This window comes from Homo sapiens, chromosome 11, assembly GCF_000001405.40.
Source record: "Homo sapiens chromosome 11, GRCh38.p14 Primary Assembly".
Classification (NCBI taxonomy): domain Eukaryota; kingdom Metazoa; phylum Chordata; class Mammalia; order Primates; family Hominidae; genus Homo; species Homo sapiens.
Window position 1 is genome coordinate 44058834 of NC_000011.10, and position 27395 is coordinate 44086228.

At 46.8% G+C, this 27395-nt stretch overlaps 2 protein-coding genes across 20 annotated transcripts in view, besides 3 other annotated features; both read left to right on the plus strand.

Moving 5' to 3' along the window:
* The window catches only part of ACCSL (1-aminocyclopropane-1-carboxylate synthase homolog (inactive) like), a 138910-nt gene extending 137766 nt beyond the window's left edge, over positions 1–1144 (plus strand). For all 3 annotated transcript variants that reach the window (XM_047426927.1, NM_001363113.1, NM_001031854.2), the window contains one exon: positions 1005–1144. In XM_047426927.1, the coding sequence (XP_047282883.1) occupies positions 1005–1087 (83 nt within the window). In that variant the 3' untranslated portion in view covers positions 1088–1144. The remainder of the gene's footprint in view (positions 1–1004) is intronic.
* Positions 7077–7206: an enhancer, noted in NCBI's record as "active region_4647". NCBI's record gives its function as "activates an Ori minimal core promoter by ATAC-STARR-seq in GM12878 lymphoblastoid cells {active_cell/tissue: GM12878}" and the evidence as "EXISTENCE:reporter gene assay evidence [ECO:0000049][PMID:35858748]".
* Positions 7307–7396: an enhancer, noted in NCBI's record as "active region_4648". NCBI's record gives its function as "activates an Ori minimal core promoter by ATAC-STARR-seq in GM12878 lymphoblastoid cells {active_cell/tissue: GM12878}" and the evidence as "EXISTENCE:reporter gene assay evidence [ECO:0000049][PMID:35858748]".
* Positions 7417–7606: an enhancer, noted in NCBI's record as "active region_4649". NCBI's record gives its function as "activates an Ori minimal core promoter by ATAC-STARR-seq in GM12878 lymphoblastoid cells {active_cell/tissue: GM12878}" and the evidence as "EXISTENCE:reporter gene assay evidence [ECO:0000049][PMID:35858748]".
* Positions 7437–25404, plus strand: ACCS (1-aminocyclopropane-1-carboxylate synthase homolog (inactive)). 17 transcript variants are annotated; one of them, XM_005253170.4, is made up of 15 exons: positions 7437–8463; positions 8795–9082; positions 12423–12482; positions 14614–14684; positions 15779–15848; positions 16693–16759; positions 18446–18543; positions 19012–19089; positions 19851–19951; positions 20698–20787; positions 22187–22232; positions 22346–22487; positions 24336–24478; positions 24591–24744; positions 24862–25404. In XM_005253170.4, exons 1-15 carry the CDS (start codon positions 8161–8163, stop codon positions 24957–24959), a joined length of 1809 nt encoding a protein of 602 aa, XP_005253227.2. In that variant the 5' UTR covers positions 7437–8160; the 3' UTR covers positions 24960–25404. The 17 variants fall into 17 exon arrangements, 13 of the variants coding, with proteins under 13 accessions (XP_005253227.2, NP_115981.1, NP_001120691.1 ...); NM_032592.4 differs by having other exon boundaries at positions 7437–7868; NM_001127219.2 differs by having other exon boundaries at positions 7437–7489.
* Positions 25405–27395: the final 1991 nt, after the last annotated feature.

Below are 27395 nucleotides of genomic sequence, written 5' to 3' on the forward strand. Positions count from 1 at the left end.
TGCTCTTGCAAACAAGAACTGATATGTACCTCAAGCACCTATCCATTCATTACCCATTTGGGGTATCTGTTCTGTGACTGCCATTGAGTGAGGCATTGGGACCACAAGCTAAAAAGTAGTACTCTGAGGCCAGGTGCGGTGTCTTATGCCTGTAATCCCAGCACTTTGGGAGGCCGAGGTGGGTGGATCATGAGGTCAGGAGTTCCAGACCAGCCTGGCCAGCATGGTAAAACCCTGTCTCTACTAAAAATACAAAAAATTAGCCACGCATGGTGGCGCACGCCTGTAATCCCAGCTACTCGGGGGGCTGAGGCAGGAGAATTGCTTGAACCTGGGAGGTGGAGGTTGCAGTGAGCTGAGATTGCGCCACTGCACTCCAGCCTGGGCGACAGAGTGAGACTGTTTCAAGAAAACAAAAACAAACAAACAAAACCCGAAAAAAGTAGTACTCTGCCCTTGTGGGACTGGCAGCCTAGTAAGTGAGATGGATAGGCAGATGACCATGGAAGTCCCTGTATGCCATACTAGAGAGTTTAGATTCTCCTCTGAGGTTATAGAGAATAGGACATTCATGTGAACATTTATTTATTGCATTCCACTACATGCCAGATGCTGTTCTACCTGCTGGGAATATAGCAGTGAATTGTTCATTCTCATGAAGGTTTTTGTTACAGAATTCTTTTGAGCTAGCATAGAAGATAGGCTGAGTGAAGAGACACTAGAGGCAAATAGAAATCCTGATTAGGCCAAGGCCATAAGCCCGAGAGTACAGGCTTTGATACAAGACATTGAGATGTCTCGCAGGCTGACATAACAATGATATTCAAAAAGAAATCAGGGATGCAACATGTAGACTTGGAAATCCATCCCAAAGGTGGGAGGGCTGAAGTTCAGGATCCCTGAATGAGAGGCTTTTATGGTTGACCATGACCTGGGTATGTCTGGGACCCACCAGCAAACCTACTAAATCACTATTTCTCTCTGTCCCCATTTGAACCCTCTAGCTATGCGTCGGTTCTGTGATGTGCTGCAGGAGCAGAAGGAGGCTTTGATAGTGAAGCAGTTGGAGGATGCAATGAGGGAGTAGGCCGTCTGCCTCCCAACCAGCAGTTCCAGCCCATCACTTGCTCAGGGACCCCCTAATGTCAGCCTCTGGCCCAGAAGGCCAGGGTGTCTTTTTGTCAGTGTTGCGATGGAGAAAATGGTGGGCTCCTCCAGGAAGATCTCATCTTACCCGGTTGTCACCCTCCTTAAGCTGAGTGCCTGCTGTCTTTGGAAGCTTTCCATCTTTTTAGTCTTTGCTAGCCATTATATATGCAAAATGTTTTTATCGGGGTTGGGGTGGAAAGGCCTAGAGACACCTAGAGAAATAAAGGGAGTTCTCTGGGCCCCTATTTAGATGGTTTATTTTTATATTCAGTACCTAATAAATTCTATACTTTTAAATTCTAGGCCCATCTTATTTTCTTGCTTATATTCTTCATAATCATCTTTGGAAGCCAGATGATTTTCTGTCCTCCTTAATTTTTAAATTCTAAGGCAGGTTCTATGTAAAGAATACTGTCTAGAGCAGGCCAGAAAAAGAAAGAAGTCATCCTTAACTGATGGGCCATTTTCCAGGTGTTGGATGCAATGTTCTATAAGATTCTTATGAAATCACATCCACTTCCACATGACCTGCTAAGAGGCAGGTGGGAGTATAATTGCAGGTATTCCTGCTTCCAAATACTAGAGTTTGTTCCACTTTTACCTTCCCAAAAGGCTTTTAAAGTCTCTTGCTGGGTACGGTGGCTCATGCCTGTAATCCCAGCACTTTGGGAGGCTGAGGCCAGAGAATGGCTTGAGGCCAGGTGTTTGAGACCAGCCTGAGCAACCGAGACCCTGTCTCTACAAAAAATAAAATTAGCTGGGTGTGGTGATGTGTGCCTCTAGTCCCAGCTATTCAGGAGGCTGAGGTGGGAGGCTCGCTTAAATCTAGGAGACCAAGCCTGCAGTGAACCATATCGTGCCACTGCATTCCAGCCTGGTTATAGAGTAAGACCCTGTCTCTACAAAAAAGAAAAAAAAATCTGACAAGCTTGGTGTCTTAGTCCCTTCATAATATGAAAATATCACAAAGTGGATGGCTTAGAAACAAATCTTTCTCACAGTTCTGGAGGCTGGAAAGGCCGAGTTCAAGGCCCTGGGAGATTTGGCATCTGGTGAGGGTCCCATCTTCCCAGTGTCATCTCATGTGGCAGAAGAGGTGAGAGGTCTTCCTCTGCCTTCATGACCCAATCACTTTTCAAAGGGCTCACCTTCTAATACCATCACCTTGGGGGTTAGGATTTCAAATATGAATGTTGGGGGGACACATTCAGTTCGTAGCATCTGGGGTTGTCCATTTCCATTTCTAATGTTTTCAGCTGTTCAAATTAAGCCACCCATCAGTTTCTCTGCAAAGCCCTTGCATGTCAGAGCACTGATACTGTGAAGTGGGCAGAGAAGGGACTACTACGATTTTATGGATGAAGAAAGAGCTCACAGTACCAACTGGTGGCTTTAGTCGCTTGGGTTTGTGGCCGTACTTGCTCCGAATCCAAATTTGTTTATTCTTGTCAGTTTTCTTGTGTGTGTGTGTGTATGTGTGTGTTTTTGTTGTTGTTGTTGTTGTTGTTGTGAGACTGAGTCTCACTCTGTCGCCCAGGTTGGAGTGCAGTGTCACAATCTCGGCTCACTGCAACCTCTGCTGCTGGTTCAGCGATTCTCCTGCCTCTGCCTCCCAAGCAGCTGGGACTACAGGCACGTGCCACCTCGCCCAGCTAATTTTTATATCTTTAGTAGAGACAGGGTTTTACCATGTTGGCCAGGCTTGTCTCAAACGCCTGACCTCAAGTGATCCGCCTGCCTCGGCCTCCCAAAGTGCTGGGATTACAAGCTGAGCCACCGCTCCTGACCGATATAGCTCTTTTTAAAAAACCTCTAGTATAACGTTGAATAAAAGTGGTTGAGAGGACAGCCTGCCTTGTTCTCAGTCTTAGTAGCATTGAGTGCAATCTTCTGCTCTTGAGTATAACGTTACTGTATTTTTCATTCTGTCCCTTATCTAATAAAGAGTCCTTCTATTACTAGTTTGCTGGGAGTTTTACCATGTATGAGGGTTCAATGTTGTTAGATGTTTTTCATCTGCATTTATAGAGATATGATTTTTCTCTTGATTATCAATGTAGTAAGTTACATTGATTTCTTAATGTTAAAGCAACTTCACATTGCTGCAATAAACCCCATTTGGTCATGATGCATTGTCCTTTTATATACCATTGAGTTTGGTTTGCTATTTTAAGAAGTTTACATTCAAGAAGGACATCATTCTATAATTTTTTTTTTTGTAATGCATTGTTAGTTTCAGTATCATGATTAATACTGGTTTCATAGATGTTTGGGAAACTGTTCCTTCCTGAATTTTCTAGAAGTTTGTGTCCAAAAACTTCTTCAACCTTTAAATATTTGGTTGAATTCAGCTGTAAAACCATAAGGGCCTGGAGGTTTTTTTTTTCTTCTTTTTTTTTTTTTGTGGGACGGCTTTTACTTATAAATTCAATTTCTGTGACAGTTCGAGTTTTCTATTTCTTGTATCAGATTTGGTTATTTGTGCCTTTCAATAAAGTTTGTCTATTTCATCTAAGTTTAATTATTGACTTAAAATTGGTTATAAATATTCTGTTATCCTTTTAATACATTTAGGATCTTTAGTTGTATCTCCTTTTCCTTTCCTGATACTGAAATTGATACATGCAGGAGGGGGATTACGGGGAGGGTCTCCGGAGAATCTCCAACCCATCTGTGCACTGGGAGAACAAGATGGAGCCAAGGGAAGCTGTGGCCATGCTCAGCGGGGAGGAGCCTGGCCTCTTCAATTTCTGTGTGGTGGCCTGGGATTCAATGTGAGTTTGGAGGCCTGTTAGCAGGACCCCCTCTTGCTCTGCTGACAGTATTTTTCTTTTTTCCTTTTTGCCCAGTAAATTCCGTTCCCCTCACCCTTCAATGTGTCCATGTTCCTAATCCTTCCTGGTGGTGTGACAAGAACCCGGTTTTAGCTGAACTAAGGAGCAAAATTCTGCAACAAAATGAGTTTTTTTGATCAGTCAATCTAACTGTTTATCAACTGTATTGAACTTTTCAAAGAACCAACTTTCAGTTTCATTGATTTTTCTCGTTTCGCCTTCATTTCTGCTCTTATCTTTATTTCTTTCTATTTACTTTGGGTTTAATTTGCTCTTTTTTCTAGCTTATTAATGTGGAAGCTTAGATCATTTGTTTTAAGTTGGTTTCAAATATATGCATTACAAGCTATTCATTTCTCACTTAGCATTATTTTAGCTACATTCCATAAACTTTGATCTGCTGGTTTTTAATCATTCAAAATATTTTCTAATTTCCCTTGTGATTTCTTTTTTTAAATCAATGGTTTGCTTAGCATATGTAACTTAGTTTCCAAATATTTGGGGACTGTTCAGCTTTCTTTGTTAATGATTTCTACTTTAATTTCATTGTGACTAGAGAATGTACTCTATGGTTTCAATCCTTTGAAACTTATTAAGACAGTTTATGGCCAGATTTGTTTACAACATGTGGTCTATCTTAATGTTTCATTTGCACTTGAAAAGAAGTATATTCTGTGGTATTGGGGATGGTGTTCTATAAATGTCAATTAGATTAAATTTTTGTATAATGTCCAAAAGTTCTGATCCTTAGTGTCTTTTGATCCATTTGTTCTATCACCGAGAGAGTGGTATAAAATTTTCCAATTATTATGAACTTGTCTTTTCTCTTTTTCGTTCTGTCAGTTTCTGCTTCATGTATTTTGAAGCTTTGTTATTACGAGCATAAACTTTTAAGATTGTCACCCTGATAAATTAATCATTTTATTCTAAAATGCCCCATTTTATTTTTGTTAATTATTTTTGTCTTGAAGCCTACTATCAGATACCAATATGAACACATCAGCTTTTTTCATGATTATTATTTGCTTGTTTTTTTTCACATTTTTACCTTTGACCATTTGTTTTTGTATTTAAAGTGTGTCTCCTGCACACACCATATGCTTGATTCTTGCTGTTTTATCCAGTCTGATGATCTTTTAATTGATCTTTAGTCAATTCACATTTAATGTAACGTGTGTGTATGTCTTCCACTTAGGACAAGTGCCTGTGTTTGTTGTTTCGTGGGGTTAAATCCCCCTGCTGCATGTTTCCATGGTACCCAGTAAATAGTCTTTTTAAAATAGTCCCCACATTGTAAGTCGGCCTTCCCAATCAATCATGCAGGCTTTGGTTTGTCTTGCTCATCACCGTATCCTCGCATTTTACAGAGACCTGGCACATAACAGGCATTCACTGAGATGTGAATTACATAGAATTAAGATTTAAATAGAGGAAAATAATCGCTTCCTTATCTTACAGAAGAAAACAGTAAGGGCCAAAAAAGTCATGAGAGTTGCTCAAGGTCACAGTGTTAGCTAGTGCAAGGCAAAAGTGAAGACAAGAAGTGGAATGGCCAGAAGACAGCCATGTCTTCCCAGCCATACCTGTATTGAGAGATTCTGCTTATTTCCTTTCATGGGGAAAGAAGACTTTCCCATTCAAGGCACCTCAGAGACTGCAGCTCTACCTGGGACCTGGGTGCCCACTGTACCCATTGCCAGAATATGTAGAGCTTAGGGCAGAGTTTGAAAAATACTTTTGAAATTATATGTGTGTGTGTGTGTGTGTGTGTGTGTGTGTGTGTGTATGTAATTTTTTTTTTTTTTTTTTTTTTTTTTTAGATAGAGTCTCGCAAACACCCAGGTGGGAGTGCAGTGGCACGATCAAATTCACTGCAGCCTCTACCTTCTGGGCTCAAGTGATCCTCCCACCTCAGCCTCCCAAGTAGCTGAAACCACAGGCACATGTCATCAAGTCTGGCTAATTTACAAAAACATTTTGGCTGAGTGCAGTGGCTCACGCCTGCCATCCCAGCACTTGGGAGGCCGAGGCGGGCAGATCACGAGGTCAGGAGTTCAAGACCAGTCGGGACAATATGGTGAAACTCCATCTCTACTAAAAATACAAAAATTAGCCAGGCGTGGTGGTGCGTGCCTGTAGTCCCAGCTACTGGGGAGGCTGAGACAAAAGAATTGCTTGAACCCGGGAGGCGGAGGTTGCAGTGAGCAGAGATTGTGCCACTGCACTCCAGCCTGGATGACAGAGCGAGACTCCGTCTCAAAAAAACAAAAAAACATAAAAACCTTTTTTTGGTAGAGACACGGTCTCTCTATGTTGCCCAGGCTGGTTTCAAACTCCTGGGTTCAAGGGATGCTCCCACCTTGTCCTCTCAAAGTGTTGGCATTACAGGCGTGGGCCGCCACACCTAGCCAGAGTTCAACAAATATTGCAGGCACGTGTGGGAGACCAGGACATGCCTCCCCAAAACATGAAGGATTGTGCTAAAGACAAGCAGCAGCACATTCAGGAAAGCTCTCTACCCTGGCCCTATTTGCCTAAAAGTAGGACACAGGTTTACAAAGACAAAAGGTATCCTGTCCCTCTGTCTACCTAGGAGAACAAAGACAACTTTAGACCCCTATGGCCTGGAGATGGTACCAGAGGAATTTACATTAACAAGCTTGACTAACTGGCCTTTGTCTTTTTTTTTTTTTTTTTTTTTTGCCTTCTCACAAGTTGCCTCCTGGAGAGACTCAAAGCCCTATTTCTTTGTCTTGTAACTTAAAAAAATTACTGTTCTTTGTTGAAGATGCTATAAAAACTGGAATTCAAAGTCACCTCTTCCAGAACGACTCATTCCCTCCAGATTTCTCATGTATAAATGAAATACACATGTCAGTAAATTTCTGTCTGTTTTTCTCTTGTTAATTTGTCTTTTGTAACAGGAGTCTCCCCCAACTAAGAACCTATGAGGGCTACAGAAAATCCCCTACAAATGAAAGGGGCAGAAATGACAAACTGCGATGAAAGGCCATAAGGATGCTCACACCCGAATCTAAAAAGCCCTTTGTGTGGGCCGCAGCCAAGCATACTTTGGCAAGAAATTTCTGTGGCTCTAACCTCCTTTGAAAACTGGAGAACCAAGGCCAGGAGGCAGAAGGAGGTGGCAGACCCGGCCCGGCGGCGGCCCAGCACGCGCAGGCCACCCAGAGTGGAGGTGGGAAACGGCATTACGCCCCTTTCCCTTTTCCTGGTCCCGCGGTGCTACCTCGTGTGCCACCCTTAAAGCGTAGTCCCCGCCGAGACCGCCCCCGCCTGAGTGGCAAGGGGACGAACTGCGCCCTGAACAGGCCTGGAAGCCCAACCCGGTGCGGACCGCCCTCAGTCTCCTAGTCCGGGCGCGCTGAGCGCAGGGGGGCGCTGTCCTCACCCACGCGTAAGTCGCCGCAGGGCGTTTCCGGGCGGAGAAAACCTACACGTGATGGGCGCCCACCGAGTGCCAGCACCGCCTCCTCCAGCTCCGCCAAGTAGGTGGGATCCACTACTTTGCAGAGGAGGAAGCCGTTCAGGCCTCCCTCTGTGCACTTTGCAAAAGCCTCTGCCCTTCCATCTCGAATCCCTTGGCGCCGATCACACTTCCTCTGCCTGGAAACCTGGAGCCGTCTCTCGCGAGACGTCCTCCGCCCTGTAGAAGGCCGTTTCGGTTCTTCGTGCGCGGTAGCCGCCCCACTTGCGGGATTCCAAGGCCTCATCGAGTGCGGGTATCTGGCTGTGGATTCGCCGCCGTCCTGCTGGACGCCTGGAGGCTCGAACCCCGCCGCCCCCCTACCCCAGGCTTTACTCCCACCCCGGCTTCCGCCCACTGTGCTGCCCTTCCTCGGACCTGGGCTGTCGGGAGAGCTGGAGGTGAGCGCTCTTGGGAGAGCCCAGCCAATTTAAAGAGTACCCCTGAGAAGACTTTGCGGAGGAAAATTTAACTGCGGGTACCCGCTGAGTTTATGGTGCGCCCAGTGTTACCAGAGCTTGTGTTGTGCATCAGGACTGGGAAAATTGGCAAGGAGTTACGCTATAATGACTCATATTTTATTGAACTTTGGTCATCAGCCAGGATTTGTTCTAAGTACTTTATTGTCACTAACATATATATTTATGTCTTCACGGCCACCCCGAGGTGGTTACTGTTATATCCACTGTGCAGATGAGGAAACTAAACTGGCTTAGAGAAGTGAAGGAGTTCACACCCGCGGGCAGGAGTAGACCACCCTCTCCTTGGTGTCCACACCTCGTTTCTTCAGGACTGAAGAGGCAGGCCCTGGAGCTCTGCCTGGGTTGCCTGCACTTGTGGAGGTTCCCATTCCTCCCTTCCCTCAGTTCCTACCCGCCATCTGCCTCAGAACACCACATAATCTCATCCTACCCTTTACACCACAAGACCCCCAGGACTCCCAGGCAATACTCTGCTTTAACTCAGGAAATTTTAACCTGGCATTTGGTAATTGAGGTGAGCAAGGGTGGAAAAAGAATGTTGATGACCCCTTAGGCTGGAGAGTGAAAAACTTTTGCAGAAGTAGAACACGCTAAAGCAGCAATACATTAAAGTCACGTCAATGTGGCAAGTGCAGTCCCTGGCACGTACTAGGTCCTTAACAGATTTTTCTTGTTGAAGTCGTTGCACATATGGTTACAGCTAAGGGACACAGGAAGTGATGAGTGCATAAACCTAAAGGAAGGGGCAGATAAGAGAAAGGGGACTCCCATGACTCCAACTCCTTTCTGATGCTTGGTGCTATGGAAATCCCTTGAGCAGGCCTGTGCGTTTTGTCTTTTTGCAGATGTTCACCCTTCCTCAAAAGGACTTCAGGGCTCCCACCACCTGTCTGGGCCCCACCTGCATGCAGGACCTGGGCAGTAGCCATGGGGAAGATCTGGAAGGAGAATGCTCCAGAAAACTGGACCAGAAGCTGCCAGAGCTCCGTGGAGTGGGTGATCCTGCCATGATCTCCTCTGATACCTCCTACCTGTCCTCTAGAGGAAGAATGATTAAATGGTTCTGGGATTCAGCTGAGGAGGGCTACAGGACCTACCACATGGATGAGTATGATGAGGACAAGAACCCCAGTGTGAGTGAAGCTCCCCTCCCACTGGGACCCAAGAGAGAACTGCAGGGTGGGGTACCCTACCTTGACCAATAAGGCAGCATCCAGCCTGCTCTTATGAGGTTGGAGTTATGGTACTCTGACCTCCAAGAGGGCTTCTGATGTAGCTTAGAGAGGCCCCAGTGTACTGCCTGGATCAGGAAATGGTCCATTTAGAATATAGGGGACCTTGATTTCTGAGGGAGGAATTCAAGAACCATATGATGTTCTATGGATTCTGACCCACGACCTGTCGACTATCCAACTTTAGAGCTAGGGCAGAACTAAGGTTCAGGTTGCAACTGTTTTACTTATAGGTTGTGTGTTGCTGAGCTAGTTACTTAACTTCCTTGAATCTTAAGTTATCTCTAAAATGAGATAATAAGGCCAAGCATGGTGGTTCATGCCTGTAATCCCAGCACTTTGGGAGGCTGAGGCAGAGGGAACACTTGAGGCCAGGAGTTTGAGACCAGCCTGGGCAGCATAGCAAGACCCCATCACTACAAAAAGGTAAAAATAAAAAAATTAACAGGGTGTGGTGGCGTGCACTTGTGGTCCCAGCTACTGGGGAGGCTGAGGTGGAAGGATTGCTTGAACCTGGAAGGTTGAGACTATAGTGAGCCAAGATCATGCCACTGCATTCTAGCCTGGGCAACGGTGTGAGACCCTATCTCAAAATAACAACAAACAAACAAAAATAAAATAAAATGGGATAATAATACCTGTTGTGTAGAAGAGTCAAGATTAAATGAGAGCAAGTATATGAAGTTTTTAGCACAGTGCTACTCAATAAATGATAGCTGCTATTATTATTTTCTGTCCCAAATATAAGCTATTCTCATAATGCCTTCAGAAGTCAGAAAGCTGTTACAAATAACCCTTTAATAATCTTTATTTGTTGAGCATCTACCATGTAGATGTGAACAGAAACAAAGTTCTTATCCTCATAGAGCTCATATTCTAGTTAGGGAGACAAACAGTGAATGAACAGAGAAAATATATGTATACTATATGGTGGTGAGTACTATAGAGAAAAATAAACCAGGTTAAAGAAGACAGAGAAAGATGGGTGGGCTGGGGATGTTGCTATTTAGTAGAAGGAGGTCACAGAAGGCTATTTTAATAAGATGAACATTTGAGCAGAAACCTGGAAAAAGTGAGGGATTGTGTTAGTTATCTATTGTTGCATAACAAATGACCTCAAATCTAGCAAGTTAAAACAACAATTCACAATTTTTGGAGTTCAGGAATCCTGGTGGATGCCTCAGGCTCAAGATCTTTTTTTTCCTTTTTCTTTTTCTTTTTTTTTTGTGACGGAGTCTCGCTGTGACACCCATGGAGTGCAGTGGCATGATCTCGGATCACTGCAACCTCTGCCTCCCGGGTTCAAGGGATTCTGCCTCAGCTTCCTGAGTAGCTGGGATTACAGGTGTGTGCCACTATGCCCAGCTAATTTTTGTATTTTTAGTAGAGACAGGGTTTTGCCATGTTGGCCTGGCTGGTCTCAAACTCCTGACCTCAGGTGATCCGCCTGCCTCCGCCTCCCAAAGTGCTGGGATTACAGGCATGAGCCACCGCGCCTGGCCAAGCCACCGTGCCAGTCCACGCCACCACGCCCAGCCTCAAGATCTTTTGTGAAGGTGCCATGAAGCTGGGGCTGTGGTCTCATCTGAAAGGTTGACTTGGGGCCAAGGGATTGGGTGGGAGGCTCTACTTCCAATGACACTCTTATGCTTATTGGCAGGCTTCAGTCCTTCTCCACGTGGGCTTCTTCACAGAATTGCCTCATGGCATGGTAGCTGGCTTCTCTCAGGGCAAGTGATTCAAGAGAGAATCACTTGGGTCATGGTACCCAAGATGGAAAGCCACAGACTCTTTATAACCTAACTTTGGAAGTGACATCCCATCACATCTGCCTATTCTGTTAATTAGAAGCACGTTGCTAGGCCCAGCCCATACTCAAGGGGTGTGAATACCAGTAGGCCTTACAGGCTGCGCATCACAGGGAGTAAGCCATGCAGTTATCTAGGGAAGAGCATTCCCAGCAGAGGAAACAGCCAGTGCAAAGGCTCCAGGGTTAGATCATGCTTGATGAGTTCAAGGGACAGCAGAGGGGCTACTGGAGCTGGAATAAAGCCAAAAACAAGATGGGCAGGCGATGGGGTCAGAAAGAGGATGGGGTGGTGGAGGTGATAGAACCTGTAGGGCCCCACAGGACCTGGTGAGCCTTCTGATTTTGGACAAAGTGGAATAGGAGGTATTCAAAGGAGGAGCAGTGTGGTCTGAATTTGGGTTTTGAAAGATGTCTTGGACTGCTGTATGGAGATTTGACTTGGCAGGTGAGACAGTACACAGAGAGAGGGGAGGGAAGCTGTTGTAATAATATAGACAAGAAATGATGGTGGCTTATACCAGGGTCCCAGCAGTGGAGGGTGAGACATGGTTGGACTGTGCATGTGTTTTGAAGGTAGAGCTGCCAGGATGTGTGGACAGATTGGCTCTGTTTCGAGGAGCTTCCCAGCTTGCTTACCAGGTCGTGAAGGAGCACTGCCTTTTATTTTGTCATAGCCTGAGCTCATTCAGGTTTTACTTTTTCATCTTCCTTCCTTCACTCCCCCTGCAGTAACTCAGGGGTCAGCAGTTAGCTGTGCGTGAGGCCTGCACCGAGTCTCCCTGGGGACTCTGTAAGGGAGAGCTTGGGTTATGCCTGCCTGCCTATCCTATGACAATAAATGCCTGTGGGGTGGGGATCAAGGTATTGTGTGATGTTGCAGGGTCTCCTGGGGGAGTATTTGCACTGGCAAAGGAACCTCTTCTTGATCTACATCTACCTTTGCTTCTGTTCCTTCCAGACTGCCAATATACCATCTCTATTCTTTCATTCTGTAAATGTGTATTGAGTCCCACTAAACCCCTCGAGAGAAACAGTGGTGTCTTCAGCACACATCTGTCCTTCAGGGAGCTTACCCTCAGTACGGGAGATACGGTGTGTACCTCAGTCCCTGTGACCTGGGGTGGAAACTGACCAGTTCTCTAAAGGGGACAGATCAAGAGCTATGGGATCCAGAAGAATGTATCCCTTCCAGGTGGGGTTATAGGGGGGACTTCATGGAGGACATGGCATTTGGACAGAGCTTTAGAAATGGGAAGATGGGATCAGGCAGCTGAGCAGAAGGCACACCTTGAGCAAAGGCAAGGAGGGATGTTTGAAAGGGTGGGATTGTAGAGAGCTCCCACTTTGCTTTGCTGCCTCCATGGGCTCCTGGGGCCTTTCACTGGCACCCCCCTGCCATGCTAACTCTGCCTCTGTACCTCTCATCTCCAGGGCATCATTAACTTGGGCACCAGTGAGAACAAACTCTGCTTTGACCTGCTGTCCTGGCGGGTAAGTCCTAGGGCCCCTCTAGGGGGCATCACCAGCTCCGAGGAGCTGTCTTCCCTGGAATGCTTTCCCAACAGGAGCCTGCTGCTTGGCTCAGTGGCCCTGGCCTGGGAATCAGGAGACCCGGGTTCCAGGCCTACCTTGGGACAGTTTTCTGTGTGATCTTAGGTGAGTTTCTTCCCCACTGTAGTCCTATTTCTTCATCTCTGTAGACTCTTATTTCACTCAGTCCCTCCTGCTGTGTTGGGTCCCCTGATCTCAGAGGGAAACACTCAGTGCTTTGTGGTGTAGGTATTTAGCAATTAGCTCTTCAGGGGGACAAAAAAAGCCTGATGTGTAGTTTTGCCAATTTCCGTAGTGTAAATACTCCCACCATGGCTGATTTCAAGCTCCTTATGTGATATCACTGCAGGCAGAGTTGGAAGAGAGCTGCATGGGCACACTTATGTAATATTTTCACCATATAGACATGTAGACAGAACTGACCTCAAAAACATAGATAGTAAAAGGTACTAGCAAATCAGGAAGCAGTGACGTTTGAGTGCTTATCACCTTTGTTTGTAAGATAATGTATTTCATTGTCAGTTTATATTAATTTGCTTTTTAAAAGTGGCTGTTTTTAACACAGCTTGCAACATTTCTGAAAATTTTATAATCCGATTTCTTGAGCTGTGGTAAGCCATCTTAGCAACCACTGACAATGCCTAATAAATGTGTCTCCCAAGGCGGCAGTGGCAGAGTTTGGGTTTGTAGAGACAGCAATCCTTAACCCAAAGGAACATATTTCCAAAGGGAGAAATCTCAACCCCAAGGGGAAGGGGTTATAGGGAATAGATTTTATTTATTTATTTATTTATTTATTTAAGATGGAGTCTTACTCTGTTGCCCAGGCTGGAGTGTAGTGGTGTGATCTCAGCTCACTACAACCCCCTCCTCCCGGGTTCAAGCAATTCTCCTGCCACAGCCTCCTGAGTAGCTGGGATTACAGGCACACACCACCATGCCCGGCTAATTTTTGTATTTTTAGTAGAGACAGGGTTTCACCATTTTGGCCAGGCTGGTCTCGAACTCCTGACCTTGTGATTCGCCCGCCTTGGCCTCCCAAAGTGCTAGGATTACAGGCGTGAGCCACTGCACCCGGCCAGGGAATAGATTTTAAAGGCCTGTTTTACCTAAAGCCAGCTCCTCCTTCTAAGGCAGCTAAGCACTGAAATAAAAGGTGAGCCACATATATCAATTTAAATTTTCTATTAAAAAAAATAAAAAGATGCCAGGTAAAAACTAATTTTAATAATATATTTTATTTAGCCCAATATATTCAAAATATGACCATTTTAGCATGTCATCAGTACAAAAATTATTAATGATATATTTTACATACTTTTTTCCTACCAAGTTTTCAAAATCCAGTGTGTCTTAATTCAGATGAACCACATTTCAAATGTTCATTAGCCACATGTGGCCAGTGGCTACCATGTTGGACAGTGTGGCTCTAAGGGAGGAAGGGAGAGAGGGCAAAGGCTGGACCCAGTTATGTAGAAGTGGCTGATTCCCTTTCTTCCTTTTGGCCCCAGTGCGTAAGGCCCCTGCATTGGCCCTTCTTTGACAAAGGACCTACAATACTAGGAGTTTCTAACCTAGCACTGGTCATGGAATGGGTGGTCTAGAAACTGCTACTTTTTTTAAAGTGTGAGGTTGAGCTGAGCTTGCAGGAAGACAGTGGCCTAAGTCCCTCTAGAAGTTGGAGCCAAGACTGAGGTTCTAGCTCTCAGTATCTTCTATCACCCCATGGAGATGCTGATCAGTGTGCTCTTCCGTTAATACTTTTGCAAACCCACCCCTCCGATTTTTTTAGGTGGCAGTGTTGTATAAAGAATGCCAGACTAGGAGTCAAAAATTTTGGGTTTTTGTCTCAGCTCTGCCACTTGCTAGCTCTGTGACCTTGGCTGAGTGACCTCACTTTTTTGGACCTCAGTTTCCTCACCTGCAACATGGGTATGAGAAAGCTGTCACTCTCTGCCCCTCTCGCAGTTTCTCTGATGAGCAGAACAAGCGTTCAGCTTTACCTGCCCTGTGCTGTGGATGCTGGTAGCAGTGCTGGCCCTCAGCCGTGCTCTTCCCTCTCTGTCCCCAGCTGAGTCAGCGCGACATGCAGAGGGTGGAGCCATCCCTGCTGCAGTATGCTGACTGGAGGGGACATCTGTTGTAAGTAGTTGCCATAGGGTGAGTTTGTCCCCCTGGGGATGTGTGGCAATGTTGGGAGACATTTTTGGTTGTTATAACTGGGAAGTCAGGTGCTCCTGGCATTTAGTGTGTAGAGGTCAGGGATGCTGCCTAAAGTTCTACAATGTACAGGACAGCCCCCACAATGAAGAATGACCTGGCCCCGAACATCAGTAGTGGCAGGCTGAGGGCCTAGTCCTGGAGACCTGGCGACTATGGGGTCTCCTGCCAGTCCCACCTCAGCACAGGAGCTCGCTAGTCTGGTTTCTGGGAACCTGGGTTTAAAGCATGGGGAGGGCCTTCAGGTGAGAAGTCTTTGTCCTTGCTTTGATGGTAGCTTTAGAGAAGCCAGAATTGCTGTTCGGGGAGCTGGCTGGGGCCTTTTCCTAATGCTAAGAGGGGAGGTGGTAAATAACACTAATAGCTTGTGCTTATTGAACACTTGCTTGTGGACACTGTTCTAAGGGCTCAGCGGCTGAGCAGGACTTGATCCCAAGACTGATTGTAAAGCACGTGTTCTTCTAGTGTAGTAATCAGGGTGGTGGGCCCTGGAGTCAGACCACTGGGCTTGAGTGTGGACTTTGCCTCTTACCAGCAAGTGACTTAATTCCTTTAAATCTTAGTTTTTGTTTCTTTGCCTGTACAATGGGAATAATAATAATAATGATAGTAGTAGCCGCATCATAGGATTATTATGAAGAGTAAGTAAAAATTTTCTAAATAACATTTATAGAAGGTAAATGCTCAAAAAATATGAGCAACAATAATGGTGCCAATAGTTGTTGTTGTAGTAATAATGTTTATTAGTATAATTAGCTAGATCTCCATGGAGGGTGTTACTTTTGATAATCCCTGAAGTCTCCTGATTAGGTGGGGTGGGGTGTCCTCTGCAATGCATGTGGGTACTGGGGAGGGGAAGGTGGGTGCTAAGGAGTGGAGACAGATACACCCACACCCCATCATGGGAAATTAGGGAAGAGTGATGGCAGCTGCCTGAGGATTCACCAGAGGAGCTTCAGGATGCACCGTGGGTTGGGGACCATCTGGCAAGCACTGTCTTTTTGTCTTATCTTCAGCCTCCGGGAGGAAGTGGCCAAGTTCCTGTCTTTCTACTGCAAGAGCCCAGTACCCCTCAGACCAGAGAATGTGAGTGGCCCCCTCCACTGCTCCTTCCTGTTCTCCTGCCTCCCCTCTCCATCTCTTTCTTTCTTTCTTTCTTTCTTTCTTTCTTTCTTTCTTTTTCTCTCTCTCTCTCTTTCTCTCCTTCCTTCCTTCTCTTTTTTTTTTTTTTATTTTTTTTATTTTTTCAGACTGACTCTTGCTCTGTCACCCAGACTGGAATGTAATGGTGCCATCTTGGCTCACTGCATCCTCTGCCTCTTGTGTTTAAGTGATTCTCTTGCCTCAGCCTCCCGAGTAGGTGGGATTACAGGCATGCACCACACGCCCGGCTAATTTTTGTATTTTTAGTAGAGATGGGGTTTTACCATGTTGGTCAGGCTGGTCTCGAACTACCGACCTCAGGTGATCTGCCCGCCTTGACCTCCCAAAGTGCTGGGATTACAGGCCTGAGCCACTGAGCCTGGCCTCCATTCCCCATCTTTGGGCTGGCCTGAGAGTAAGCTGGGGTTGAGATCTGCCCTTCACATAGTTTTGACTTGTTTCAGAGTAGAATTAGGAATACCTTCTCCCTCCTCGATGTTTAAAGTTTGGGTATAATTTCCACCCCATGTTGTTCTGTGGGCCTTCTGCCTCCACACCTTCAGGCGAGACCCTCTAAATGACCAGCCCCCTCTTCCTGGCTCAGATGATCTGGAGCAGGGTCCACACGGATGAGCTTGGCTGTCAGTCTAGTGGCTTTGTTGTGACAGAGCCTCAGGTGGCACCAAGGCAGGGCCTGGCGCTCACTCTGTGCTGTCCTGGGAGGCTGCGGGTCCGTGCACACTCCTGGAACTGGTTCATCTTCATCCCTTGGATATGTCGCCCTTAGGTGGTTGTCCTGAATGGTGGTGCCTCGCTCTTCTCTGCTCTGGCCACGGTGCTGTGTGAGGCCGGGGGTAAGTGAGCTCTGTGGCCTGCCCCGCACTGTGAGCCTCATTGTGCTTGCAGGGTTCCCAGTTGCCTGGCCTCAAGGGCTGCAATAGTATGCTTTCGGGCACAATAGAATATACTAGACTGCAGGGGGCTTGAATAAGTGGCTTGACAAAGCACCCGGGGGTCAGCAGTTCCAGGGGAGGTTAGTTTGATGTCAGGGTCCTGGGCTTTCTCTCTGCCATGACCTTGGCTGCTTCATGCTCATAAGGTGGCTGTCGCGTCCTCACGTGACAGTGTGTCTTAGAGCAGGAAGAAAGGGATGTGGTCGTGCCGTGCCTGTCTCTTTTTTATCAGGAGATGGGGATGGGGATGCTGTTTCCCAGAAGAGGCCCACTTCTATCTTCCTGACCAGAATGGACTCATATGCCTGTTTCCAAAATGGTCCCTGGCAAAGGGGACTAAGAAAACCAAGGTTGCCTTAAACCAGATGTGGTTTGTCCCCCAGGGACAGGGGAAGGCCCACCTTCCTTAGACATCTTGCTGGTCATACCTGAAGAAACTAGTGCTCTCTTAGCATGGAAGGAAATTGGAATGGCTGTTGAGTGGGCAGCCAGCCAGCATTGCCTGCTGCAAGAGCCTGTTGTTTTAAGAATCAGTTGTGGTCAGGGGTTATTGGTTGCAAGGAAAAGAGACCCATTCATGGTAACTTAATTAATAATGAGAATATTAGTAACATTTATTGACCACGTACTGTGTTCCAGGGATTAGCCTAAGGCTTTATGCAGAGTATTTCATTTAATCCTCACAATACTTCAATAAGGTCGGTTCTATGGTTATCTCTATTTTACATATGAGGAGACTAAGACACAGGAGGTTAACTTGTCAAAGTCACACAAAGAGAGGTAGTAACCAGTATTTGAACCATGAAAGAGAGATTCATTGTAAGGATATAATAGGGAATTTCCTGCCGGTTCCAGAACAATCAATAACAGGAACCCTCTAAGCTTCAGTTTCCCTGTCTATAAAGTTAGGATATAATAAATAGTACCTCCTTCGGAGACTAATTGTCAGGAGCAAATGAGATAAAATAGAAACAAATGTTCAGTGCATTTCCCATCACGTCGTAAATGCTTAGCAAATGTTAGCTGTTAATAATTAGAAAGGGGGCTGTATTAGTCTGTTCTCATGTGCTAATAAAGACATACCTGAGACTGGGTAATTTATAAAGGAAAGAGGTTTAATGGATTCACAGTTCCACATGGCTGGGGAGGCCTCACAGTCATGGTGGAAGGTGAATGAGGAGCAAAGTCACATCTTATATGGCAGCAGGCCAGAGAGGTTGTGTAGGGGAACTCCCCTCTGTAAAACCATCAGATCTCGTGAGACTTAATTCCCTATCACCAGAACAGCACAGGAAAGACCTGCCCCCGTTACTCAATTACTTCCCTCCAGATCCCTCCTATGACGCAGGGGAATTATGGGAGCTATAATTCAAGATGAGATTTGGGTGGGGACACAGCCAAACCATATCAGGGGCTGATCTCAGTGGATCCAAGCTTTCCAAAGTGTTTTGGGAGTTAAGAGTGCAAGTATGCCCCAAACGGTCCCCAAAGAAGTTAAAGGCTTGGAGAGGGACTGGGGACAGTGGACAGAGGGTCTGGGGTGTTCTGGCCAGAAAGTGACAGGCCCTCGCCCACTCCTGCCCCCAGAGGCTTTCCTGATCCCCACCCCTTACTATGGCGCTATCACACAGCACGTGTGTCTCTATGGCAACATCCGGCTGGCCTATGTCTACCTGGACAGTGAGGTAAGAGTCTTGACTTCCTAGGTGGAACCTGGGCCTGCCTGTGGTCAAGAGTTTCCTGGGTCTGAATTTGAGGGTGGTCCATGCTGAGGGCTCTGGGGTTGTGATGAGTAGGGAATGGAGCCTTCTGTTGCTGCATGGCTGCCTGTGCCTGGGTTCCCCAGTGGCTCCAAAGTTCCAGTCTCTGAGATCCCTGGGGTTGATGTAGAAGCCAAGAGCCAGACCCAGAAACAGCAAGGTAGGAACAGAGCAGGGTAGACCTAAGCATGACACCCAAGAGTGATGAGGGGGTCTCTGAAGTGATGGGTTGGGGGTGGATGGCAGTAAGAGGGAGGGACCCCACCTGCTTTTCCAGAGACTCTTCTGAGGAGGCTGGGGATTACAGGGGAGGAGAGGCCTGAGAGTTCATATGTATTTTGGGGGGCAATGGTCACTGAATGTGGCTGGTGGCTCTGATGGGTCTTTTTCCAGGTCACTGGGCTAGACACACGCCCCTTCCAGCTCACAGTGGAGAAGCTGGAGATGGCCCTGAGAGAAGCTCACTCTGAGGTCTGGGGATCAAATCAAACCTGAGGCTGGGTGTGGGTGGGTCTGAGCAGGGTCTGGACCCCTCTTCTTGTGACTGATCTCCTCCCGGGAGTAGGGTTGATACCCGGTGATTGGGACAGACAGGTAGGGTGGTAGCACAGAATTATTCTGGGAGTCAGGCAGAACCCTGCCCAGGGAGGGTCTTCCCTTTCAAAACAGACTCTCAGACCTCAGTTCACAGAGAATCAACCAGGGAGCATCACTAAAGATACCCCCATCCCTGATCCATCTGATTATGATTCAGTGGGTCAAGTATGGAGTACAGGAGTCTGTGGTTTTACAAGTCTCCCTGGTAGTTTGAGGGGGCAACCTTGCTCACTGTGGGGGGAGCTGAGGACTCCCAAAGGAGAGCAGAGACCAGTATTCCAGTGGTTCCTTTCCAGCCTACTTTTCAAAAATCTACTTAATTTTTTTTTACTTCTGTCATGAAAGCTATACATACTCACTGTAGGAATTTTGAAAGTGCAAAAGGCCAACCCAAAATTCTACCAACAAAGGTAACCTACTGGTATTTGGGTATATTTTTTCTCTGGGCCTTGTCCTCCGCCTTTATCTGATGCTGCAGATGTAATTCTGTGTTCCGCTTGTTTGCTTCATGTTGTGTTATGAACATGTCCCCCTCAAATCTCCCTGGGAGCCTTCCAGCGATCAGCCCCCTTTGACTGTGTGGCTCTGGCCTTGGGGAAGAGCTGAGGGTCTCCTGCCCTAACGGATGGTTTCAGGGTGTGAAGGTCAAAGGCCTCATCCTCATCAGCCCCCAGAACCCTCTGGGTGATGTATACTCCCCTGAAGAGCTACAGGAGTACCTGGTATTTGCCAAGAGGTGAGGCACCCCACACTGGCCCCGACAGAGCGTCTGGGCAGCCTGGGGTTCCAATGCGGGTTTGGTGCAGGTTTTTCTACTCTCTTGACCCCACTGTGGGCTGCTACTTGCTTGGGCCCTTCCTTGGCAGTGGAGCGGGGAAGCAGGGATTTGTGGGATGCCCATTCCTCTTTATCTTTCACTCTTTATAACAATAGCTATCAATTAGCGCACACTCTAGGGGCCAGGCACCATGCTAAGCACTTTATGTGCCTCATACAATCCTCACAACAATGCTATCATACAATCCTCACAACAACCCTTTATGTGCCTCATACAATCCTCACAACAACCCTCATACAATCCTTACAACAATCCTTACAACAATCCTCACAACAACCCTACTGATGCTGTTATCACATCCAGCTCACTGAGCCTTAGAGTGGTCAAGTGAGGGGTGGATCCAGACTTGAACCTGGGTCTCTCCGACTCGAGCCCTTGTGCATGACCTTGCCCCTCCATGGAGGTGCCCGGGAGATCCTTTTCTCCCCTGCAGTGCTTCAAAAGCTCCTCTGTCACCTGCTCTGTATGTGTGGCTTTCTGTTTGAAAAAAACAGAAGAAAGAATGGTGTTCTTGGAAAAACAAGTTTGGTAACCCCGGGCTAGACCCCGGCCCCTCTGGATTTCTGATGTATTACCTCCCCACCCTGTGGGACGCATCTGCCCTACACACTAAGTCTCTCCTCCCCACCCCTGCCTCACTCCAGGCACAGGCTGCATGTGATTGTGGATGAGGTCTACATGCTGTCCGTGTTTGAGAAGTCTGTTGGGTACCGCAGTGTCCTAAGCCTGGAAAGGTGAGGCTCCCTGACACAGCTAACTCCCCCAGTCCCTATTATCCCACGGAGCCCTGGCCACTTTCTGGCTCAGCCCACAGGGCATGGCCTGCCCAGAGCAATTCCATTTCCACCCAGCTGGTCCCACTGGTCCTCAGATCTAATGAGAAGCAGGGACGGTTGGGCTAGATTAGTGATTTTCAAGTTGTTCTGTGGAATTTCTGAGAACTCCAAGAAGAGGCCTCAGGATCCCTTAAGTTAGGGCTGAGTGGATGGCAAATTGGCCTCTTTGCTGTTTCCTTTACCTCCAGAGTCGCTCCAGTTTTATTCATTCATTCATTTACTCATTCATGCTCTCATTCACTCAGCACCTCTGGAGCCCCTTACACACAGAGTGTGCCAAACACCTCTGGATATTTAAATGTTGGGCTTTTTCATTAGGTTTACTGTAAGCAAAGCATTTGTGGCCAAAATACCTTTGGGAACACTTGGAGCAGATCATCCTCAAGGCACACTGGCCCATGCCTGTAATCCCAGCACTTTGGGAGGCCAAGGTGGGAGGATTGCATGAGCCCAGGAGTTTGAGACCATCCTGGGCAACATAGTGAGACTCTGTTTCTACGGGAAAGAAAAAGAAAGTGGGGACCAGATCATGTGGGTAGTCTGTGAATCTCACCTTCAGGGGTTCTAACAGTTCCGGCTGTTTGTTCAGAACCTTCAGCCCAGCCAAGCCCTTTCCATTAGCCTTCTCTTCTTGTCCTCACAAAGCCTTGAGGAGTTGATGGAGCATGGATTGTGACTCTCATCTATTTTTTGGATTAGGAAACTGAGGCACAGAAAAAAGTGATTGTCCACGATCCTTGGTTAGTCATTAAAAAAAAAATTATTGAGCATCGATTTCGTGGCAGGCACTGTGCTAAGTGCTGGAGATACAACAGTGAACAAGAAAGACATAGACCCTTCTTGTGTAGAACTTTAATTTCTAGCCAGAAAAACCATTTTAGCGGCTAAATGCACATCCAGCCATTGGATTATGGCCATCATGAATGCTAAAAGGGAGAGTCCAGGGAGCTGTGAGAGGATCTGTTTAGGGTACCTGATTGGCCTGGTCCCAGGGGGAGTGGTTAGGGAAAGTCTCTTTGATGAGTGACATTTGAGCTAGGCTCTAGATCATGGCTGTGTTCTCATTAAACTTTATTTACAAGAAACAGGCAGCAGGCTATGTTTGGCCCGCGGGCTGTCATTTGCTAACCCCTGCTCTAAAGGATGCATGGGAATGGGTGGTTCAAAGACATGAAACCAGGGCTTGTCCTGGAACCAAAACTAGATTCAACCACCCATCTCTTCATTTGTTCAACCAAACACATGTGGGTTTCCATAGTTCTGTGTTGCCTCTGTTCCCATGCTGTGCTCTCTGCAGGCTCCCTGACCCCCAGAGGACCCATGTGATGTGGGCAACCAGCAAGGTGAGTTCCTGGCTGGCCTTGGGGGTGTCAGAAGGGTGGGAGGGCAGAGAGGTGGGTGGAACCAGCTTCCTCCATGGAGGGCTGGCCACCGCCTAGGGTGCTTCTTCCTGCAGGACTTCGGGATGTCTGGGCTCCGCTTTGGCACGCTGTACACAGAAAACCAGGATGTGGCCACTGCCGTGGCTTCCCTCTGCCGCTACCACGGCCTCAGTGGCTTGGTCCAGTACCAGATGGCACAGCTGCTCCGGGACCGTGGTGACTGCCTGGGCCTGGTGACCTGAAAATGGGAGGAGGGTTGGAGGCAGCCTGGGAACAGCCAGGAATCATAGATACTTCTCCTATGAGAATAATTTAGGGTAATGTTTGAGAGTGCCAGCTCTGAGCCCCGACTGGGTCCATACCCTATTTGGCCACTTCCTGGCCATGTGGCACTTTGCTTCACCTCTTTATCTGTATGAGCCTCAGTTTCCTCATCTGTAAAACAGGGATCATAATGGTACCTGTCCTGTAACAGGTTAGTATGATTTGTAATTCAATTAGAATAGTGCCTGGCATATAATAGGCACTTGATTAATGTGAATTCATTATGACTAGCTGTGTGAGCACCTAAAAAACAGAGCAGGGTCGAGCATGGAGGTTCATGCCTGTAATTTCAGCACTTTGGGAGGCTGAGGTGGGAGGATCACTTGAACCTGTGAGGTTGAGGCTACAGTGAGCCTTCATCATACCACTACACTCCAGCTCGGGTGACAGAGTAAGACCTTGTCTTTAACAACAACAAAAAACAGCAGAAGCTTCTAAGGAAAATTGTTTTAAAGGAAGTATCTCTCTTGCTGTGAATCTATTCTGTTCCTAGATTCAAATAGTGAGTTTAAATAGCAAAGGTTACCTTTAAATGCCGCCATTTACTGAGCCTAGCAAATGCACCTGCTGTATCATCTCATTCACTCCAGAATCCTAGGAAGCAAGAATTCTTATATTTTCCTTATTATTTTACAGATGAGGAAAATGAGGACCAGATACTACCCCACTCACTATAGTAGCTAAAAGTTTTAAAAATAGTGACAACATCAAGTGTTGACAAAGATAAGGAGCAGCTGGAAGTCTCATACACTGCTGGTAGGAGTGTAAGTAGTTCAGCCACTTTGGAAAAGAATTCAGCAGTTTCTTATAAAGTTAAACATACACTTGCCAAGTGATTCAACAATCCTACTCCTAGATATTGACCTTGATGGTCACCCAAAAACCTCTGCTTTATTCATCATCACCCATAACTGCTGCTTTATTCATAATCACCCATAACTGGAACAACCCAAATGTCCTTCCACAGATGTGTGGATGCACAAACCATGGCCCATCCACTCAATGGAACACTACTCTGCAATAAAATCCGTGGCAGTATGGGATAATTTCAAAGGAATCCTGCTGAGTGAAAGCAGCTAGCCTCAAAAGATTACATGCTGTATAATTCCAATTCGATGACATTCTGGAAAAGGCAAAACTGTAGTGATGGAGAACAGATCTGTGCTTGCAGATCTGTTTATAGTCACATCAGAGATGTGACTATCAACAGCATCAGGGTGTTCTTTAGGATGGTGGAACTGTTCAGCATCCTGACTATGGTGGTGGTTACATAAATGTACACATGTATTAGAATTCATAGAACTGTATGACAACGACAAAAAGTCAGTACAAACAATGAGGATCAGAGAGGTGAAGTTGCCCAAGGACCCACCCCTTGTCATTGGCCACACTGGGATCTGAACCTTGGTCTGTGGGACTACAGAGCATCACTCTGGAACTTTAGAACTAGATAAACATTGGGTTCGATTCTTTATCCTGGGGGACTTTGCGCTGAGGGGGTGTGGGACCTGGAGCTGTCAGGGCTGAGTGTCTGGGTTTAAGGTGCTTTACATTGAACACTGCATTTCCATCCCTTCTTGACCTCCCCTTCGTAATCCTTCCCACCACAGCAGCCAGCTAGAGGAGGGACTCAACAGCATCCTGGCAGCTTGTGGCCTTTTTCTTTACAGCATTTAGACTAGTGGGACCAAGTAGAGGGTTGATGGGATATTGATCTTCTGGCCTCTTTCACCCAAACAGACTGGATCAACCAGGTGTACCTGCCGGAAAACCATGCCCGGCTCAAGGCTGCCCACACCTATGTCTCAGAAGAGCTTAGGGCATTGGGGATCCCCTTCTTGAGTCGTGGGGCTGGCTTCTTCATCTGGGTTGACTTGAGAAAGGTAATGCTGGTGGAGGTGCGGGCTGAGAGGGAGTTTCAGGTCTCCCTCCAGCAGGTGAGGGGCAGTTGGTGAGGGGTCTCAGCTATGTCCTGAGCCCCTTCCACCCTCTCAGTACCTGCCCAAGGGCACCTTTGAGGAGGAAATGCTGCTCTGGCGCCGCTTTTTGGACAACAAGGTGCTGCTGTCCTTTGGCAAGGCCTTCGAGTGTAAAGAGCCTGGTTGGTTTCGCTTTGTCTTCTCAGACCAGGTCCACCGGCTTTGCCTGGGTGAGCAGCCTGCCTTTCCAGCCCAGTCCTAACTGCAGCCTTCACTGTGGCCTCCGCTTGTTTGTCCCCACCCACGTGGCCATCAGTGCCAACTGGCCCCTCACTTCCCCTTCCCAGGGATGCAGAGGGTCCAGCAGGTGCTTGCAGGCAAATCCCAAGTGGCAGAAGACCCCCGTCCCTCTCAGAGCCAGGAGCCAAGTGACCAACGCAGGTGAGCTGGTCATTGTCTCGTGGCCAGAGGGCCCAGCAGCCACTGTGGACCTGGGGCGTTCTGGGGCTGCAGAAGACTGACTGTGGATGTGCCATTTGCCAGGAAGGTATCTAACTTGGCTTTGTGCCTGAAGAACTGTTTCTTGTCTTTCGCTGTAGCAGTGGGAAACTCCTTAAGCTGTGGTTCAGCCTGGGCCCTCCCTCTCTCCTATTAAACAAAACTAGGAGAGTCCATATGTCTCCATTGTGAGTTATTTAGAATGGAGGAGTCGTGACTGCTTCTAACCAGAGCCTCAGCCCCCCTGAGGATGTGAAAAGAAAACAAACAACTTGTACCTTCTTTCTGATATCACCGTCATTCCTCTTTCTTTGTCACCAAGGAAACGAGTCAAAGGAACAGCACATACAGGAGAGTTTGTAGAAAAATAAAAAAAAGTGATAACTTCCAAACTCCGAGGAGAATGGAATGAATGTTGTTTGTACACATTGTTCTCCCCACACTTAAGACAGTTGGGCTCAACAGCACACTGAGATTGTGGGACCGTCTTCTGATTGGGACAAGGTGAACAGGACTCTATGGTGGAAGTCAGGAGAGGCATCTTTATGGGAGCTGAACTGGTCCCTCAATCTCCAGGAAGCTCCTTCTCCCTCTCCCTTTGAAAGAGCTGCCTTCACTGATGTCCCCAAAGCAGAGTGACCTAGTGATGGTTGTTGGGGGAAGATTTGGGGCTGGAACCCTGAACTGAGGCTGCTATGAGGCCAAGCTAACCAAGGCTGGCTTTTCTATTGTAAGGATGCAGATGAGGGCCGCCTACCCCATTTTCAGGGGTGCGTTAATTCAGAGGCTAAATGAGCTTCTAGATCTGACCAGGTGTGTCAGATCTAAAGCTGTGTGCTGAGGAGCCTTCCCAGGTGCTGACACTCCTGCTTGGAAGCCGATGCTTTCCTTCTTTCTCTGTTTTTTTTTGAGATGGAGTCTCACTTTGTCGCGCAGGCTGGAGCAGTGGCGCAATCTCGGCTCACTGCAACCTCCACCTCCTGGGTTCAAGTGATTCTCCTGCCTCTGCCTCCCGAGTAGCTGGGATTACAGGTGCCCGCCACCATGCCCAGCTGATTTTTGTATTTTTAGTAGAGATGGGATTTTGCCATGTTGGCCAGGCTGGTCTCGAACTCCTGACCTCAGGTGATCCGCCCGCCTTGGCCTCCTGAAGTGTTGGAATTACAGGCGTGAGCCACCACACCTGGCCCAAGACTTCTTTCTGAGATCACTTTTCTTTTGCCTGGAGTGTAGCACTTCAGTGTCCTTTGGTGAGGGTCTGCTGATGATAAACCCTCAGTTTCTGCTTGTCTGTATTTTGCTGTATTTATTTTATTTTATTTTAATTTATTTGAGACAGAGTCTCACTCTGTTGCTCAGGCTGGAGTGCAATGGTGTGATCTTTGTTCACTGCAACCTCCGCCTCGCATGTTCAAGTGATTCTCGTGCCTCAGCCTCCCAAGTAGCTGGAATTACAGGCATGCGCCACCACACCTAGCTAATTTGCATTTTTAGTAGAGACAGGGTTTCACCATGTTGGCCAGGCTGGTCTCAAACTCCTGACCTCAAGTGATCCACCTGACTTGGCCTCCCAAAGTGCTGGGATTATGGGCATGAGCTACCTCACCTGGCCTGCTCTATTTTTGAAAGAATTTCACTGGGTGTAGGATTACAGGTTAATAGTTATTTTCTGACTTCCATTGTCCCTGTCAAGTAGTCAGCTGTCAGTCTGTGGCTTCTTCAAAGGTGATCTGTTTCCTCTGTCTCAATGCCTTTAAGACATACTCTGATCATTGATGTTATACAGTGTTACTATTATATATCTCGATGGTTTCTTTTTACTGATCTTATTTTGGGTATTGGGATTCTTGCATCTGTGGATTCTTTCAGCAGCTCTGGAAAGTTCTCATCAAATATTTCTTCTGCCTCATTCTCCCTCTTCTCTCCCTCTGGAATTCCTATTAAATGTATGATATAGATCAACTTGCTCTGTCTTCATGTCTCCTAATCTCTTTTTCATATTTTCTTTCTCATCTTTCTGTGCTACATTCAGGGTAATTTGTTTTGGTCTATTTTTCAGTTTAATAATTCTTTCTTTAGCTGGATGTAATCTGCTTTAATCTATTTGAGTTTTAAATTTAAGCAAATATATTTTTATTAGTAGAAGTTCTAAAAGTTATTCTTTATACCTCAAGTTTGTTTTTCATTTTTTAAGATGTAATAAGCATAATAATAATAATAAGTTTATTTTTTGAGACAGAGTCTCACTCTGTTGCCCAGGCTGGAATGGTGAAGTGCAGTGGCATGATCTCAGCTCAGTACAACCTCTGTCTCCCAGGTTCAAGCGATTCTCCTGCCTCAGCCTCTAAAGTAGGTAGGATTACAGGTGTGCACCACCACACCT